General features: G+C 37.6%; 1 protein-coding gene and 1 pseudogene across 11 annotated transcripts in view; both read left to right on the top strand.

Annotated features, from left to right (window-relative positions):
- CEP120 (centrosomal protein 120) overlaps positions 1-20136 on the top strand; it is a 78951-nt gene that overhangs the window by 20223 nt on the left and 38592 nt on the right. For 6 of the 11 annotated variants that reach the window (NM_001166226.2, NM_153223.4, NM_001375405.1 and 3 more), the window contains 7 exons: positions 4336-4484; positions 10123-10320; positions 12283-12510; positions 13480-13696; positions 15014-15188; positions 16953-17102; positions 18487-18669. In NM_001166226.2, the coding sequence (NP_001159698.1) occupies positions 4336-4484; positions 10123-10320; positions 12283-12510; positions 13480-13696; positions 15014-15188; positions 16953-17102; positions 18487-18669 (1300 nt within the window). Of the gene's footprint in view, positions 1-275; positions 404-4335; positions 4485-10122; positions 10321-12282; positions 12511-13254; positions 13697-15013; positions 15317-16952; positions 17103-18486; positions 18670-20136 lie in introns of those variants that run through there. The other 5 variants (NM_001375406.1, XM_047416803.1, NM_001375408.1 and 2 more) reach the window with 4 other exon arrangements.
- On the top strand, positions 1202-2948 carry KRT8P33 (keratin 8 pseudogene 33; annotated as a pseudogene).

Genomic DNA, 20136 nt, shown 5'->3' with positions numbered 1-20136 from the left:
CTCTCAACTGTAAACTTGCTCTTTTTTCCTTTGTAATTAATAACTCTTTTGTGGGGCAGAATTGTGAAATTATGAATATATTCAATTTCTCATTAGACCTTCAATTCGTTTATTTATATCAGTGTGAATTTACAGTTTTCTCTTTTTATTTAGTGTTTTACAATATTTAACTACGCTTAATTGTTTGTCCCAGATTTGGGCAGCCCTTTTAAGTTGCTTTTGTTTCCTTTTGAATGTCTCCATGATTCTTTGAACTTATCAACAAATATTTTCAGGCACAGCAAGATGTTCCAAGCTCATCTTGTGCTTACTCTGTCTCAGCTCTGGATTCAGCCATTTCTCTAAGGAGCCCTGCTTCCTTTCGGTAAAGAATGATTTTTAGAAGCCAAGATCTAGGTGCTAGGTATGTTAGCTGATATCGAGGTGTCACTGTTCCCAGGCCCTTTCAGTAGACAAAGTGAGGGAATTTGTGCATATATGTGTACACACACATATAAATACATACACACATTTGTATATATACATATGGTCTTACCTGTTTTGTGCTGCTATGATAGAACACTACAGACTGGGTAATTTATAAAGAACAAATTTATTTCTCGCAGTGCTGGAGGCTGGGAAGTTCAAGATCAAGGCACTGGCATCTGGTGAGGGACTTCGTCCTACATCCTCACATATTGGAAGGCTGAAGAGCAAGAGAGGAACTCTCTCCACCAAGCCTTTTTATAAGGGCACCTGATCTCATTCATTAGGGAGGAGCTCTCATGACCTAATCACCTGTTTAAGACCATATCTCCTAATACCATCACATTGGCCATTAAGTTTCAACACCTGAGTTTTGGAGGGGACACATTGAAACCATAGCACATATACACCATTTTGCTTATATTTATCAATATACATTGAACAGTGCCAGGTGCGGTGGCTCACGCCTGTTCCAGCACTTTGGGAGGCTGAGGCAGGTGGATCACTTGAGGCCAGGAGTTTGAGACTGGCCTGGCCAACATGGTGAAACCCCTTCTCTACTAAAAATAGAAAAAATTAGCCTGGCTTGGTGGCACAAGCCTGTAATCCCAGCTACTCAGGAGGCGGAGGCAGCAGAATTGCTTGAATCCGGGGGGGCAGAGGTTGCAGTAAGCCGAGATCCACTGCAGCCTGGGTGACAGAGCAAGACTCTGTCTCAATAAAAAACAAAAAACAGACCAAGAAGCAGCTTCTCCGCTCCTTCTAGGATCTCTGCCTGGTTCGGCCCGCCTGCCTCCACTCCTGCCTCCACCATGTCCATTAGGGGACCCAGAAGTCCTACAAGGTGTCCACCTCTGGCCCCCGGGCCTTCAGCAGCCACTCCTACACAAGTGGGCCCGGTGCCCACATCAGCTCCTCAAGCTTCTCCCAAGTGGGCAGCAGCTGCTTTCGGGGTGGCCTGGGCGGCGGCTGTGGTGGGGCCAGCGGCATGGGAGGCATCACCGCGGTCACAGTCAACCAGAGCCTGCTGAGCCCCCTTGTCCTGGAGGTGGACCCCGACATCCAGGCTGTGTGCACCCAGGAGAAGGAGCAGATCAAGACCCTCAACAACAAGTTTGCCTCCTTCATAGACAAGGTACGGTTCCTGGAGCAGCAGAACAAGATGCTGGAGACCAAGTGGAGCCTCCTGCAGCAGCAGAAGACGGCCGGGAGCAACATGGACAACATGTTCAAGAGCTACATCAACAACCTTAGGCGGCAGCTGGAGACTCTGGGCTAGGAGAAACTGAAGCTGGAGGCGGAGCTTGGCAACATGTAGGGGCTGGTGGAGGACTTCAAGAACAAGTATGAGGATGAGATCAATAAGCGTGCAGAGATGGAGAATGAATTTGTCCTCATCAAGAAGGATTGTGGATGAAGCTTACATTAACAAGGTAGAGCTGGAGTCTCGCCTGGAAGGGCTGACTGATGAGATCAACTTCCTCAGGCAGCTGTATGAAGAGGAGATCCGGGAGCTGCAGTCCTGGATCTCAGACACATCTGTGGTGCTGTCCATGGACAACAGCCGCTCCCTGGACATGAACAGCGTCATCGCTGAGGTCAAGGCACAGTACGAGGAGATCGCCAACCGCAGCCAGGCCGAGGCTGAGAGCATGTACCAGATCAAGGATGAGGAGCTGCAGAGTCTGGCTGGGAAGCATGGGGATAACCTGCGGTGCACAAAGACTAAGATCTCCGAGATGAACCGGAACATCAGCCGGCTCCAGGCTGAGAATGAGGGCCTCAAAGGCCAGAGGGCTTTCCTGGAGGCCGCCATTGCAGATGCCGAGCAGTGTGGAGAGCTGGCCATTAAGGATGCTAACGCCAAGTTGTCGAGCTGGAGGCCGCCCTGCAGCGGGCCAAGCAGGACATGGCGTGGCAGCTGCGTGAGTACCAGGAGCTGATGAACGTCAGGCTGGCCCTGGACATCGAGATCGCCACCTACAAGAAGCTGCTGGAGGGCGAGGAGAGCCGGCTGGAGTCTGGGATGCAGAACATGAGTATTCATACGAAGACCACCAGCGGCTATGCAAGTGGTCTGAGCTCGGCCTGTGGGGGCCTCACAAGCCCCGGCCTCAGCTACGGCCTGGGCGCCAGCTCCTTCAGCCGCACCAGCTACTCCAGGGCCGTGGTTGTGAAGATCGAGACACGTGATGGGAAGCTGGTGTCCGAGTCCTCTGACGTCCTGCCCAAGTGAACAGCTGTGGCAGCCCCTCCCAGCCTACCCCTCCTGCGCTGCCCCAGAGCCTGGGAGGGAGGTCACTATGCAGGGTAGCACTGGGAACAGGAGACCCACCTGAGGCTCAGCCCTAGGCCTCAGTCCACCCGCGGGGGAGTTTACTGCCTGGGGACCCCCCCTTTGCCCATGCCTCCAGCTACAAAACAATTCAGTTGCTTTTTTTTTTTTTTTTGGTCCAAAATAAAACCTCAGCTAGCTCTGCAAAAAAAAAAAAAAAGCCATATATATATGTATATGTATGTATTTATGTGTATATATATGTATATATATGATATCTGAATTGATGCTGCTCTATATATATGTATATAGACGCTTCAGTATATATATTGTCAATTCAGATTGACACCTTCAATTCCATTCCAGCACCGCAAGATTCTAGTTTTCATCTTCACCCTATTTGTAACTCCCTTCCCTGTCAGTGAGAACATGTCATACTTATTTTAACTTCTAAGCTCTATTGGCCTTATTGTATGACGGCTGCCTTTATTAAAGTGCTTAATGGGTCAGAGTCTGTGCTAAATGCTTTGCTTTCATTATTTGATTTGATCTTTCAACAACTCTATAAAAGCTTTCTAGAAAAAAAAAAATGGAGACTAAAAGAGATGGATATGGGTTCCCTGTGCAACAAGTCAAGGACAGAACTGGGATTGGAACCTTGGTCTATGCGACTTAGATATCTGTGCTCTTAATTATTATACTGTTTTCAGCCACTGCTACTGTAAGCACAACTCTTTAGGATTAACTCCTAGAAGAAGGATTGCTCGTTTATAGGGTATGCACATGTAAAATTTTGATAGGCCCTGATATATCACCCTCTAATTGGTTATTCTAGCATGTACCTGCCAACATTGAGAGCATTCACTTTCCTGCGTTCTCCTCAACATTGGATATTATCAATTATTTTAGTTGTGTATGTTTTTTGTTTTTTAAATCAATTTGAAAAACCTTGTCCCTCTTCAGTCTCCTCATACTAAAGCCTATTTGATTATGTCAGTTTTCTTCTCAAAACTAGTTTCATGATTTTCTCTTATTCTTAGAAAACTATCCAAAAATGTTTCTGGATAGCATACAGAAGGACTGTATGATATGGCCTCTGCTTATCCAGCCCCACCTCCCTCTGTATGTCGGTTCTCACTCTGTGATCTGGCACCCTATGCCTGTGTCAGTTTTCTCACACATGCTTTCTCTTGCTTCTGTGTTTTTGTACATACTGTCCCTTCTGTCTAGAACACTCTTTTTTTTACTCCCCCATTCCCTGTTCAGCTGCCCTTTTCTTCTTAGCCATATCTAGCTTATTCACTTTCCAGTTTAGATTCACTGTAAAACCTATGTTAGATGCCTTTTCTATGTGGTTTATTACCTTAAGGTTTTAAAAATGTTACTCCAGAATTTTACTTTTACATACAGAAAGACAATGCTGGTTAAGTAAGGTTTCTTTGGTGAGTATGTAAGAGAGTAAAGGAAACCTTATTAGATATTAACTGTATTCATGAAAATTACCAAGCAAATTACAAAATATAATCAGTTTTAAAAATCTTATAATGGTTTATGACAAACTACAATGTAGTTTAATCGTGTTTTTCTCTGTAAAGTACCTGCCATCCTGGCTGGACTTGACCCCAGGGACATTGTGGCTGTGCTGAATGAAGAGGGAGGCTACCATCAGATTGGACCAGCAGAATACTGTACTGACTCCTTTATTATGTCAGTGACCATAGCATTTGCTACCCAGTTGGAACAGGTGAGACTTTTCATGAGATTGGTGACTTACGAATAATTTGAAAACTATGTAAAACATTTTACCTTTCAGGTATTAAAAAGACTTGCAAGTAGACTTTTTTTTTTTAACTTTTGAAAAATGAGTTCAAAACATGTTTTCTTTCATACTGGAAAGAAAACTTCTTAATTTAGAAAAAATAGATTTTGATGATCTTGATTGTAAGAGAATAAATCTCTCAGGATTTAGGAGAATGGCCATCAGTTAACATTGTTTTCCATTGTACTGTGTGGCATTGTAAGGACTGACATGGAAGGATTTTTAAATTTGTGAACGATTTACTTTTTGGAGAAACTTACAATGTCAGGAATACTTTCTGCCACTAATACTTAATGCCTATAGAGTTTTGGGTTCTATTTTATCTTGTTTATAAACTAATAAATTAAGCTGTTACTGTCATGGATGCTAGCAGAAGACACAGGTTCTTGGATCAGAAACAAAAGAATTTATTACCCTTAGTAGCAGAGCAAGAACATGAATATTGGTATATTTCCTTCAGTTGCCCTTACCCCAGGTCCCATGGGGACTACACAGAGGGGCCCAGGTGGTTGCTCTACACATAGTGGGTTTTATCACAGCTGAGGAAACTGAATTTGGGGAACCTGCCACTTTCATTGTAAGCAGTAAGCAGGCCTAGTCTTTGTCCAGGAAGACACATTACCTTATCTCTCAAGCTGCTTAAACAACCCTGGGAAATGGGCTGAGTAAAAGAGTGGTCTGGGCCTTGCAGTCTTGCCATACTCTGCAAGAATGTCCAGGGATGCTCAGGGCTCATGGTAGATTGCCTTCCCAACAGCGGCTCAACACAAAACTAGCTGTTATTCCACTGTCCCTCTCAAGTCCACTTCCCTTTTTTTTTCCCTCCTCTGCCATCAACTTGGTTTTACAGATCTACTTTTCTTGACATTATGTTGTTCTGTAGTAGCTGAAATGAATTAATACTTACAAAAATAGATAATATGGTTTATAACTGTACAATTTTTATCAGAGTATTCCCCTCCCCACTTTTTCCCCTAAGAGACAGGTCTTTCTTTGTTGCCCAGGCTGGAGTGCCTTGGCATGATCATAGCTCACTGTAGCCTCAAGCTCCAAGAGTCAGTTGATCCTTCTGCCTCAGCCTCCTGAGTAGCTGGGATTATAGGCATGTGCCACCACACCCACCTAATTTTTAATTTTTTTGTAGAGACAGGGTTTCACTATGCTGCTCAGGCTGGTCTTGAACTCCTGGCCTCAAATGATCATCCCACCTCAGCCTCGCAAGGTGCTGGGATTACAGGTGTGAGCCACCATGCCCGGCCTTATTTACTTTCTTAGAGGAACAAAATGTCCACGTAATCCACATTCACAAATGAAATTTGCAATTAGTGGCCACAATTTTATTTGACTTGCAAGGTACATCAGGTAAAGATTTTTATCAGGAAATGTGTTTACTTTGTCACACTGAATTCATCCCCACTATATAAAGAACTTGGTGTTCTTTGAGCATTTACTCTTTCTCTCCTTATTTGGTACTGTAAATTTCCTCACTGATACATACATACTTTTGCCTTTATATCAGTTTCCGTATTTTTCTTCTCTTAAAGGTCTGCTTATGGATTGTTAATAGTTTAATATGCCACTCTAGTTGCAGGGAAAGCCAGATATCTATTGCCTTTTTATTTATTAACCACATCAGAACACTCTTGTCTATATGTCAGATAATTAGGAATGTACTGTATTTTTACTGTGTTGTTACCATATTTGCAAAGCATTTTATTTTTTATTTTTATTTTTTTGAGGTGGAGCCTCGCTCTTGTCACCCAGGCTGGAGTGCAATGGTGCAATCTCAGCTCACTACAACCTCTGCCTTCCCGGTTCAAGTGATTCTCCTGCCTCACCCTCCCAAGTAGCTGGGATTACAGGCACCTGCCATCACACCTGGCCAGTTTTTATAGTTTTAGTAGAGATGGGGTTTCACCATATTTGCCAGGTTGGTCTCAAACTCCTGACCTCAGGTGATCCTCCTGCCTTGGCCTCCTAAAGTGCTAGGATTACAGTCATGAGCCACCATGCCCAGCTGAATTTAAAATCACTGTTTTAATACTTTTATCCTCCTTAGGGAAGCATAATTGTTCATATTTATTGATTACTTACTGTGTAATGCTTTGTATAGTAGACATTGTGCCACCCACTCTGCATATTTTGTGTTTAATCCTACCACAATCTTAGAGTTGATCATTTTCATTTTAGAGATAAGGAAAGCAAGTCTTAGGAAGATCTTACAGCTAGTTAATGGCCCAAGTATTTCTGACCACGTGGTCATTTTTAATATTCTCTTGTTCCCATATAATGCTCTCTTGCCTCTTAATGAGTTTGGAATAAGATAGATTTGAGTTGGAATCTCATTCTGTTTTCTAGCTCCTTCAACTTAGGCAAGTTACTTAACCTTTTTGAGGCTTGATTTTATGTAGTCGTGATAGTTACCATCTTTTCAGTTGTGCATGAGGAATGAGGTAATATTACTAAGGTGCCTACCATGTTGTTTGTGAGAAGCTACATTTGTATGGTAAAGTTTCCTATGGGTAATTGACCTATTGAGTCCATAACTTTTAAAAACCAATATAATACAGTTCTTGGTAATACAGGTGAATTACTGGGACAAATTACTGTTTCAGTTTAGTTTAAAAAAAAAAACACACAGGTTGATGTCTGGCAAATTGTTTACTATCTCTATAAAAAATTAAGGCAGATAGATTCCTCACAAAGTTAAACAGAATTACCACATGATCAGCAATACTACTCCTAGGTATACACCCAAAAGTATTGGAAATAGGTATTCAAATAAAAATCTGTATGTGAGTGTTTATAGCAATACTATACATGATAGCCAAAAGGTGAAAACTACCCAGATGCCCTCAATAGATGAATGGATAAACAAACTTTGGCATATCTATACAATTAAATACAATTTAGCTATCAAAGTACTACCTGTGGGTGGTGTGGCATACACCTGTAATCTTAGCTACTCAGGAGCCTGAGGCAAGAGGATCCCTTCAGTCCCAACAGTTCAAGACCAGCCAGGGCAACATAGCGAGACCTCCATCTTTATAGTAAAAAAAAAAAAAAAAAAAGGAATGGAGACCAGGCTCAGTGGCTCACATCTGTAATCCCAGCACTTTGGGAGGCTGAGGAGGGCGGATCACGAGGTCAGGAGATCGAGACCATCCTGGCTAACATGGTGAAACCCCATCTCTACTAAAAATACAAAAAAATTAGCTGGGTGTGGTGGCGGGTGCCTGTAGTCCCAGGTACTTGGGAGGCTGAGGCAGGAGAATGGCGTGAACCCAGGAGGCGGAGCTTGCAGTGAGCCGAGATCATGCGACTGCACTCGAGCCTGGGTGACAGTGCAAGAATCTGTCTCAAAAAAAAAAAAAAAAAAGGAATGAAGTACTGATACATGCCACAACATAAAGGAATGGTGGAAACATGCTAAGTGAAAGAAGCAAGACACAAAAGGCCACATATTGTGTGGTTCCATTTATATGAATCATCCACAATAGGCAAAAGTTCCTACAAGCAGATTTGTGATTTCCAGGGACTGGGGGCAGGAGAGTATGGATGGTAGGGTGTTGCTGCTTAATGATTGTATTGTTTATGTTTGGGATGAAATTAGCTGTTTAATTTTTTCCTCTCAACTTAGTCAAAGGCAATGTGAGAAAGCATCTAGCAATAAACAGATTTACAAACCTTTTCAGATGCAAATCAGTGACTTAGCACATGTTACTATAAAGTTTTAATAGAATGGAGGATTGAGTTTGGAGCAGGAAGGCCGGCTAGTGACAATCTTGCTTCCTTCTTTTCTTAAATACTGAAAGTTAAGAGTAGGAAAAAAGTAGTCTCTAAATATCAGGATAATAAAGAATTTTTAAAGAATTTCTTCCCATAATGGGAATAATTCAGAATTAAATGTACTGTGAAATATATAAGGATCTTTATTTCTTAATGTTTTTATTGCTGTATGATCATGAAAGAAAGTAAAAGAAAATGAAAATCTTCTCTAAACCCCTCCAGAATAATCACTGTAATGGTTAGTGTGTTCTTCTCTAGGTATTTTCCATTCTCACATAACAACAGCTGTGTGCTAGGCATTGTTGTAGCAGCGACTATGTATCTCTTTTAATCCTTCCAACAACCCTAAAACAAGTGCATACACACAGTGATTAAGTAATTTTTCTAAAATTTCACAGTAAGTTACTGATGGAACTAGAGTTAGGGTTTGGGATCTGACTCCAGAATTTGTGATTGTAACAATTATAAGTGCATAGGTGCTCCTCTCAATGTGTGTAAGTCCACATGATTAAAATCTCCTCACTTAAACATGAATACATTTTAAAGTGCAGGATTAAAATAACTTACATTTATTATGTGTCTGGTACTGTGCTATTGTAATCTAAGTGGTTAGTACTTTTATTTTCACAAACTATACAAACTGTCCTGTAATTTTTTTAAGCCAACAGTGTATCTTAGAGAGGGATCCTCAACCCTCAGGCTGCGGACTGGTACAGGTTTGTGGCCTGTTAGGAACCGGCTACACAGCAGGAGGTGAGCAGCGGGCAAGTGAGCATTAGGGCCCGAGCTCTGCCTCCTATCAGATCAGTGGTGGCATTAGATTTTCATAGGAGCACGAACCTTATTGTCAACTACACATGTAAGGGATCTAGGTTGCGTGCTCCTTATGAGAATCCAATGCCTAATGATCTGAGGTAGAACAGTTTCCTCCTGTAACTATTCCCCCTATACCCTCCTGTTTGTGGAAGAATTGTCTTCCACGAAACCAGTCCCTGGTGCCAAAATGGTTAGGGACTGGTGTCTTAGATAACTTTCATGTTAATGTGTTATTATTTAGCAGCCATGGTGTATGATAATTATATGTAAGCCATCTCCTATTGATCAACACATTAAATGTTTATAGCTTATTGTTTAACAGTATGCTAGTGAACATTAAAGGTCTGTTAGAAAATATATTTTGTAGGACAAGAATCCCATCTCTTAGTCATATGTAGCCATGAAACTAGCAACTCTGAAAAGTAACACTCATAGTACAAAAGGTATTTTTTTGGTGTTATTTTCATAGGCCTCTAAATTTCGACAGAATAGCTAAAAACTTTATCGGAGACCTCAACTAAGATGTTATATGTTAGATAGCCTGGATTAAATTTCTTTAAAACCTTTCCTCATTCATAACATAGAGCCTCTGATGGCTGAGGAAGTATGAGATGAAATAAAATATGTGAAAATAAGGAAAGCTCAGTTTGAAATATTTAATCTCTTTCTTCTAAGTAGAACTTTCACATATTCTTTCATGGACCAGTTGAATGCAATGAAAACTTTAAAACAACATAAATCTATAAAGTCTTTTAGACTCTGCTTTTCTAAGACGACTCTTTTTTAAAAAAATAGTAATTTGGTAGTAATTTGGCAGAAATTCAGAAATTTTATTTGAGCGGTTAAGACATCAAATAAAAAAACATTTTAGCAAATGTTTTTGGAATGTAATAGATACACTAAGCATGTTCAGTAGTTTAGAAAGTAATAACTGTTTTCTTTTTCCTGAAATGTTTAGTTAATTCCATGTACCATGAAACTTCCAGAAAGACAGCCTGAGTTTTTCTTTTACTACTCTTTACTGGGAAATGATGTTACAAATGAACCCTTCAATGATTTAATCAACCCAAACTTTGAGCCAGAGAGAGCATCAGTTCGCATCCGTAGCAGTGTAGAAATTCTTCGTGTTTACCTGGCTCTTCAGTCTAAACTGCAGGTGAGTATTGCAGCAAATCGTTTTTAGCTGGAGGTGGTCTTTTAAGCATTAATTTAGTACCTAAACTAAACGAGAGTTTAGTACCTAAACTTAATCCTATTTCAGTAGTACAGGTTATCTTTCTGCCACATCTTCTAATTTTTTTAGGTACTATCCTGAGTCATGAAGTTGTTGGCATTACAATTACCTCAGAATTTTATGAGATAATACCTCTTTTCCCAGGAATTGAGAAAAGAGGTATATCAGTTATCAGTCCTTTGCAATAAAAAAAATTATACCTGGAGCCTAGGGCAGCAGGCACGAGCAAGATTTCATTATTGTTAATGGAGATATTAGGTGTAGGCACACAGATCACACTCTCGATTTCAAAATATATATGCCTTACTGCCGTTAAAAGCAATGAGGTAAGACAGCTTTCTAAAATCTGCCCTTGAGTTGAATATTTTTTATGAACTATTTTTGAATTGGACTCCATTTAAAAGCAAACATTGGTGGAGCATGGTAGCTCACACCTATAATTCCAGCACTTTGAGAGGCTAAGATGGGAGGATCACTTGAGGCCAGGAGTTCAAGAATAGCCTGGGCAACATAGCAAGACCCTGTTTCTACAAAAAATAAAAAATTACTTAGACATAGTGGTGTGTGCCTGTAATCTTAACTACTCGGGAGGGTGAGGTGGAAGGACTGCTTGAGTCCAGAAGTTGGAGACTGCAGTCAGCTATGATCACACCAGTGTACTCCAGCTTGGGCAGCAGAGCAAGACTCTGTCTCAAAAAAAAGATAAGTTAACCTTACCTAGTAAGCATTACTCTTCTGTCTTTTATGACACTTCCTTTTGATCAAACTGAAATAGGGTGGTGTTGTATACGCTTAGATACTCATTTGTTTAAAATAAAGTAATGGACAGGAGGTGAGAAGAAGCATTAGGAAATTTTAGTAGAACTAAATTTTAGAGATGATTCTGCTAAACCCAAGATATTTAGAAAACTGAAGACTATATAAAATGGTGACATGCAGGGAAAAGCAGTTTGAGTTTTATTCTGTATCTAACATATCAGTCCTTACCAAAAGTATTGATTTATTAGTTTCTAATGGAGGACATTTACATCATAAAAATACTTTTTTTTCCAGCCCATAAAAATATTACACCTTATAATAACTTTGGGACTAAGTTACAGGTCTCTCTTAACTCTTTCACTGATGATATTAGAGCTAAATATATTTTACAGCATGATTGCTTATTTATTATTCATTCAAATACTAAGTTTGCTAAGGCTTCAATATAGTAAGGGAAAACAAGTTATATAACATTTATCTGGAAGAGTCTTTTTTTTTGTACTTGTCAAAAGGTGATAATATTGAATTTTTAATTAGCTATCAGTGATTAACAGTATACTCCACTCCAGAGATATTCTTTTACTTACTGTTAAGCACTCTTTTTAATATGAGGTCTGAAAAGCAAGAAAAGAGAAATATTCAAGATATCTTATGGGTGAAAAAAACAAAACTATTTGAGGTTTTTAAATTCCAAATCAGGATTGATCCACTGACTTATTTTTTGAAACTGTGTTTAAATTAATGGTAAAATGGAAAAAGAAAAATGTTGAGGTATTTCTTTGTTTTTTTTGTTTAAATTCATGCATTAATTTTGTTATAGTAAAATATTAAAGTAGCTCACCAAAGAGACAGAAAAAGAAGCAATAACATATGATTATGTAATACCGAAAGAAGAAATGAAAAAGGTAATAGCTATTATTGAGTTTTTAGTAAACTTTGTGTTTTATCACCAGTTTTAACAGTTATGTGTGAGAATTCATTACTTCGTCACTTGAGGTCAATGAGGTATAACCTGCATAATATTTTCTTTCCATGCATCATTTTACAACTTCTTATTAAGTTTATGATATTTAGGAGAAAGGAGAAAGTATAAAGCCCTATTTTGATTTTTCCCTTTCATATTAGATTCACCTCTGCTGTGGAGACCAGTCACTTGGAAGTACAGAAATACCTTTAACTGGATTACTTAAAAAGGGCAGTACAGAAATCAACCAGCACCCAGTCACAGTCGAAGGTGCTTTTACCCTTGACCCTCCAAACAGAGCCAAACAGAAGCTTGCACCTATTCCTGTGGAGCTAGCCCCAACTGTGGGAGTGTCTGTGGCTCTGCAGAGAGAAGGCATAGACTCCCAGGCAAGTAGTGGCCCTCCTTCATTCCCCTGGCTTCACTAGTCCCATGCATGATTACTTACAAAAGTTGAATTTCAGAAGAGTTACCTTCATAAGGATATATTTATTAATCTTAATTAGTGACCTTTGTTATATGATACCTCCTTTCTGAAAAGTGCTGTGACTTCTGTTATGGTTTATAAGTGATTCTACCCAGAGCCCTCTTAGCCTTTGAGACAGTCTTTTTGTGTAGTGGAAACCCACTTATGGTCTCCCCCACCCCCAACTCCAGAAAAGGAACTCCAGTGAAAGAGAACATTTTTAGACCTAGTTTCTGGGAATCTGCATTACTGATATCTTTTTGGTTAATGCAACCTGAGCCAAAATAAAATCCTTGGTTCCTTAGTGCTTTGTAGTCCTCATACTCTCTTTAGTCAGTTTTCATGACACAGATGATCATTTATTTGGCCGTGTATTTTTTTTATTGTATCTATTCCCAGAAATCAACTTTATCTTGTTCTTTCAAAAAGCTGATCTTTATGCAGGTTGTGAATTAAAGATAGAAGAACCGAAATGAGTGTTTAAAAGATACATATACATATATTTTTAGTGGGGAGTGGAATAAAGGAGAGAAGGAAAGTCATACTAGACATGTGTTTTTTCTCTTTAGGAGTATAGTTCTCCATTGTACTGCCTTGGTAGGAATAACCATTCCCGGGGACACCTATGCCTGACTTCTTTTCTCAAATATCCCTTCTTACCCATTAGGATGCATTTTGGTATTCAGCTCTGGATATCATATTTCCTCTGTTCATCTTCCTTTTTCTGGTCCTAGATGCTATAAGGAAATTTGCAAATTACGAAGAAAAATAGACTAGGAATATCCAAACTGGGAAAGGAAGCTTATATTTTTAAAAAACAATGCCAAGTTTTTTGCTTAATTATGAAGGAAAGTTCTTTGCAAATTATACTTTATTTAAAAATTGTTTTTAGTCTTTAATTGAATTAAAGACCCAGAATGAACATGAGCCAGAGCATTCAAAGAAGAAAGTTTTAACCCCCATAAAGGAGAAGACACTTACTGGGCCAAAATCACCAACAGTGTCCCCTGTTCCATCTCACAACCAGTCACCTCCAACAAAAGATGATGCAACAGAAAGTGAAGTGGAAAGTTTACAGTATGATAAGGACACCAAACCAAATCCAAAAGGTAAGGTTTTTTGTTGTTTGTTTATAGATCTTTGAGGTATTGCATTTTGCAGCCATCTAAAAAATGACTATGAGAACTTTCATGAGTTATAAGTAAAAATTGTGGGTTTGTTAAGAACCAATAAGGCTGGGCACGGTGGCTCACGCCTGTAATCCCAGCACTTTGGAAGACCGAGGCAGGTGGATCACCTGAGGTTGGGCATTCGAGACCAGCCTGACCAAGGTAGAGAAATCCCGTCTCTACTAAAAATACAAAATTAGCCAGGCGTGGTGGTGCATGCCTGTAATCCCAGCTACTCGGGAGGCTGAGGCAGGAGAATTGCTTGAACCCAGGAGGTGGAGGTTGTGGTGAGCCAAGATCGCGCCATTGCACTCCAGCCTGGGCAACAAGAGCGGAACTCCGTCTCAAAACAAAAAACAAAACAGTAATGTGTGGAAATATAAAAAATTTCAATGCAAAGTCATTGCAATCTATCTAACTTCAAAATATAATTCTCTAAATTAACAGAATTTTTTATTTTACTTGTACACTGGAAATATCCTATTCAATAGACATTAAATAATATAGTTTTTGCAAGTAGATTTTTTAAATGATTAGATTCTTAAATATCTTGAAGTTTGGAGAAAACAGTTGTTAACTGCCTCTTATAGTAAACTCATAATAACCATTTTTGATCCTGAAGTTAAGAGAGAGTCTAAGAATGCATATTTATCTGATTTAATAAAATTTTTCCATCCATTGCAGTTATAGTTAGTAGTGTAAATAGTAGTGGATTAGGAGTTAGATGTCTTTGCTGTAAGTTACATCTCTGTCACTGAGTGGCTGTGTGACTTCGGCCACTCACTAAGTATCTCTGATCTCTAATAGGTTGGACTAGATATCTGTCTTTTTAAGTTTTAGCTTTCTGTTATTTTAAATATGCCTAAAATAACCAAAATTACTGTAAAAAGGTGATGTCATTATATCTCAGTAAGTCTCATATACAGCCCTTCAAATGTTAAGTTATGTGCCTCTTGGAAATAAGTTAGTGCCTTCTAGGCTGCAGTCATGTATATTTCTCTATTGGTTCTGTACGTTTTCTATATGTATTGAGAGTAAGCTCTTTTTTCACACAATTCTAGAATGGAAATTAAAACCTGGGTTATTTTTGTGTGAGTTACTTTTAAGATACTTATACCTCAATTCATATGTTCATGAGACAAAATAGCCCAATTCCTGCTTAAAGGTAAATGAGATGATAGCCTTAAACTATCTGTACAATTTAAGAGAAACTGTTAGCAAGTGTGATTATTTTGTTTTATTTTATGTTCATTTCAGCCAGTTCTTCTGTACCTGCTTCACTGGCCCAGCTAGTGACTACATCCAATGCTTCAGAAGTAGCTTCAGGACAGAAGATTGCTGTACCAGCAACATCACATCATTTTTGCTTTTCAATAGACTTAAGGAGTATACATGCCTTGGAGATTGGTTTTCCAATCAACTGTATATTAAGGTGTGATTTGATTTTGTTTCAAAGTATTATTTTCTGAAGAGAAAGGACTTTCCTGTGTTTGGGGAATTGCAGAGAGAAATGTCACCAAAGAAGTTATAACATTTGTTAAATCAGTGGACTAAAAGGGGGTAAGGCTATATCCTAATGATTTTGAATTCAAACAAGGGTAGCATAGTAGTAGGAGAGGTAACTGTCTTATTATTCTGATATAATAATTGTAGGCATTTATAATAACTTATTCTAAGTAATATAATACATGTATGTATTTTGATAAACATACATAATATGCCATATAAAGTACAGTGCCTCTTAAACTTGAAAAGTGCTTTTTTTCTGGAAAAAGTATTACTGGTCAAAATAATAATAATGGTCAAAAAAAAGTAATAATAATACTAGTCAAAGTATTACTGGTCAAAAAGGTAGTGTATTATCTGATTTTTCTATAAAACTGTATTATAATGGGAGCTCATATTCCTAATACCTCCATTTCATAGCTATGAATCTAAACACCATACTTAATCAGCTGTAAGTGGAATGTGTCTACATTGTTCTATATTAAGAATTTTATATAATATATATGTCAGTTAAGTAGTTTTACACAATAATTTGTTTTTAATGATGTTACATTTTTATAGTCTTTTGTGCCCGAGATATAAATTAAATATAATACAATAATGTATTTAGTTTGGGGTAGTTAGCATCTCCTCATAAATTTTTTGGGAACAAGCATTAGCATTTGCAAAAGTTGAGGAAATAAATTGTTACAGTCCACTTAACACTCTTCATAGAATTCATTTGATACGGACTAATAGTTCGGTCTTTGAATCATTTTAAGGCACTTTAAAAATGCTGGCCACTTAACTTTTTCTGTTGATAAATTTTCATACCATGCTCTGTATTGGTATGAAATTGTAGTTTGCAGCTGTGTCATGGAATTGGTTAGGTAACACTGGTATTTGAAAAGTTTCTTATCTGCATGACTTCCTTTATTTATTTTTCTTTTAATCACTAAATCCTGTAGTGTGGTGGTAAGCATAGGGAGCTGAAACTCTAGGGCATTTAACTTTCCTCGGAAATGACATGATTTAAATGGATATATAATTATATAGGAATTGGGTGACTACATAGAATTCTTCTTGTTGGAAAGCAGTTTTTACTAATAGTGTTTAAATTTTAGTTCTCATATATGAATAACAAGATACAGGATTAAATTTAAATGAACATTATAATATCTTTATATTTGGCTTTAAATACAAATTAAGTTCAGCAGTAGTCAGGCATTCTTCCATTTAATCTAGCATGGCTTTGTGATGAAAGGGAGAAACAGTGTTGTTATGTCACTCTCTTGATTCATCCATAATACATTCGAATTGTTTGCATCCTTGCAAGATTACCATAATTACCAGATTACCATGAATGCATCCTTTTGGAGTTGACTAAGGGCTTTTTATCCCATAAAAAATCAGGATACTATTGTATAAAATAAACCAGGTTTACAAATAAATTTAGGAAGCATTTCTTGAATATTTATATATGGCAGAAACTGCCTGTGTCCCTGGGAGTGCAGAGATAAAAAAGGTAGGACATGTGCCGTCAAGGAACTTCTTACACAGATGACAGATTGCTATGTCTACCATGTTTCTATTAAAAAGTTGTATTTGCTCATAATATTCATATTATACTTTTTTCTAAAAAACAGACTGAATGTCATCTGTAAACCATATCATTAAGGCTTTTTTTTTTTTTTTTTTTTTTAAATTCTAGGTACTCATATCCATTCTTTGGAAGTGCAGCTCCTATTATGACTAATCCTCCTGTAGAAGTTCGGAAAAACATGGAAGTTTTTCTTCCCCAGTCTTACTGTGCATTTGATTTTGCAACTATGCCTCATCAGCTGCAAGACACCTTCTTAAGGTAATGCATACAGTGTATGTATGATATTAATTAATTTAAGTCAATTCTTGAAAATTTGTATTTTATTAAAAAGGAATTCTTATAGGTTTAAATCCATAGCAGTTTATGCATTTGAGGATCAAGAAACAAATTTACTAATTATGTGTATGACATTTGTGCATCTGCTACAGGGTTTTGCATGGTTTATTATAAAGGCTCTTTTTTGATTTTCCTATCTTATTTACCTGAATTTAGATATTTTAACTTTGTTAAAACAAACTATATGTAATGAGGGGCCTTTGAAAAGTGGTCTTGCCTTTTCCTGATATAATGTGGGAAGATAAAAAGCTAAGAACTAAATATTTACTTTTTATTGTTGATTCACTGAATGAAAAAATTTGCTTTTTCTGTTTTTTTAAACCTATAACTAGAGATGTTAATCTGACTATCTGAAATGGATTCATGAAAAAATCTGAGATCTGCGAAACACCTTTTACTTTCTCAGAGTATCACAATTCAAATTTATACATTATTTTAAAAAGAATGAAGGGTAACTTAAATCTAACCATTTGTGGGAATTACAGCATTTGAAGGTTTTTATTGCATAGAAAGTGGTACAAAAAATATAATAGTAGGCCTGGCATGGTGACTTACACCTGTAATCCCAGCACTTTGGGAGGCCAACTTGAGCAGATTGCTTTGAGCCCAGGAGTTTTAGACTAGCCTGAGCAAAATGGTGAAACCCTGTCTCTACAAAAAATACAAAAATTAGCCAGCACCTGCAGTCCCAGCTACTTAGGGGGCTAAAACGGGAGGATCACTTGAGCCCAGGAGGTTGAGGCTGTAGTGAGTTGTGATTATGCCATTGCACAGCAGCCTGAGTGGCAGACCAAGACCCTGTCTCAAAAAAAAAAAAAAACAGGTATAGTCGTGAATTAAAGATAGGGATACATTATGAGAAGTGCATTATTAGATAATTCTATTGTTGTGTGAACATTGTAGAATGTACTTAAACAAACTTAGATGGTATAGCCTACTGTGCACCTAAGCTGGGTGGAATAGCCTATTGCTTCTAGACTGCGAACCTGCACAGCATGTGACTGTACTGAATACTGTAGGCAGTTGGACAAAGGTAAGTATTTGTGTATCTAAACAGAAAAGATACAGTAAAAATATGATATAATTTTATGGGACCATCATTGTATGTGAGGTTCATCATTGATGGAAACATCATTTCATATTTGGTGCCTGTGAAATTTAGCATTCAGTCTAACAATTGTGTTAGACGACATTCCAGGTAACAAAAAACATCTTTGACTCCATTGAGGGAATTCAAAGAATTTAGTTCAGAAAAGACTTTAGGTCAGAGTTGATAGGTATGAACACATGTTTCTCTCTTCCTTAGGATTCCATTACTGGTTGAACTATGGCACAAGGATAAAATGAGTAAAGATTTACTTCTGGGAATTGCGAGAATCCAGCTTTCTAACATCTTGTCTTCAGAAAAAACTCGTTTTTTAGGTTCTAATGGTGAACAGTGTTGGCGTCAAACTTACAGTGAAAGTGTGCCTGTTATAGCAGCACAAGGGTAATGCATTTCACAGAATTGGTATTTGCTTTTCTTTTCAATTCATGGAATGATTTTGATTAGTCAGCCACCACTTCACCCTTCCATAACCTCTTTTTTCTGATCCACCACTTCACCCTTTCATAACCTCCTTTTTCTGATCTTCTCTGACCTGTGGCAGCTATACCCCACTTTGCCCTTTAGCTTTCTGATACTGATTTCACCTCACAGAAGTCAAGAGTCTGTGTTACCATGGTATTGTAATATTCAGATGGCTAATTATTTTCCTTCCTCTCTCTAGCTTGAGAATTTTAAATGCAGGATCTATTTTTTTATTTTGTAATTTGAGGTTAAACTTTATAATGTATTTTATATTATTTTGCACTGGGAATGGCTAAGACTGTTTTTCCACTTAAAATATTTTACTCCTACCCCAAATCAAAAGTCTGAGGACATTATAGATATTTGGCAGTCAGAGGCAGTTTTTAAAATAATTATTGGTTTTTTGCCCTGAACTTCATTGCCACAAAGAAAAACTTGCGTTTTTTTAACATATTTTAAATACAGTAAAATATTTGTTGAATTATCCTTTCAAAATTAACAATAAAAATTTAAAATTTAACTTAACATTATATATCATATGCCCTTTATCATTAAAGATAAGACTAAAAAAAAGAGAAACAAGGCTCAGTGAAATTTTAGCTCTAAAAGTATTGAAATGTCTTTCCTTATTCCTCACCATTCATGGCCATTTTGTTTCAACTCCTATTATTGAAGAATCTTTCTTAAAAATTAGCATTTTTTTGTCGTAAGTAGAAGATAATAAAATCACTAATAATTGAAGCTATTTTAATGCTGCCCGTTTGTTATGAATATTAACTTTTATTGCCATACTTTGTAGACAGAAAGTTTTAGGAGATTTACTTAAGTGAGAACCTTAGATACTCTCAGGAGTTTCTGTCAGATACAGTAGTGCTTCATTTAACTTTATTCATTTCTTCTGAAATCTGTGAGATTAGAAGAAGAAAATACAAAAGTTGGTTAATTAAGAGTTCTAATTGTGTGAGAACCATTCATTCAAGTTTTGTTTGACCAGAGTATATTTGATTTAGACAAAACCATGGTTTTGTATTACTAGCATTTTATTTTCTTCTAATATTTTATCTTGTTCTCATTTGGTTAATGACAAATGCTGCATGCAGTTGTATGATACAAAGAGGTGCTCATTATGCTCATACTAACATATAATTATCCTAGAAGCATTGCTTATGTGCCAATTAGGCCTAGAGGCATTGCTTATGTCTAGTAAAATATTTATGAGTATGTACATCCCAGGAAAAGTAGAAAAAAGAATTCAGAATAACCAATATAATCAAGAGTAGGGGAATTGTTAAGTATATTTTACTACATAAATTCATTTGTATATTTTACAGGCAGTAAAAAAAAAATCACATTTTTAAATTAATGTTATGATGTGAGAAAATGCCC

Source organism: Homo sapiens, chromosome 5, assembly GCF_000001405.40.
Source record: "Homo sapiens chromosome 5, GRCh38.p14 Primary Assembly".
Lineage (NCBI taxonomy): Eukaryota > Metazoa > Chordata > Mammalia > Primates > Hominidae > Homo > Homo sapiens.
The sequence above is the reverse complement of the archived record's forward strand: the minus strand, read 5'-3'. Positions and strand labels throughout refer to the sequence as shown.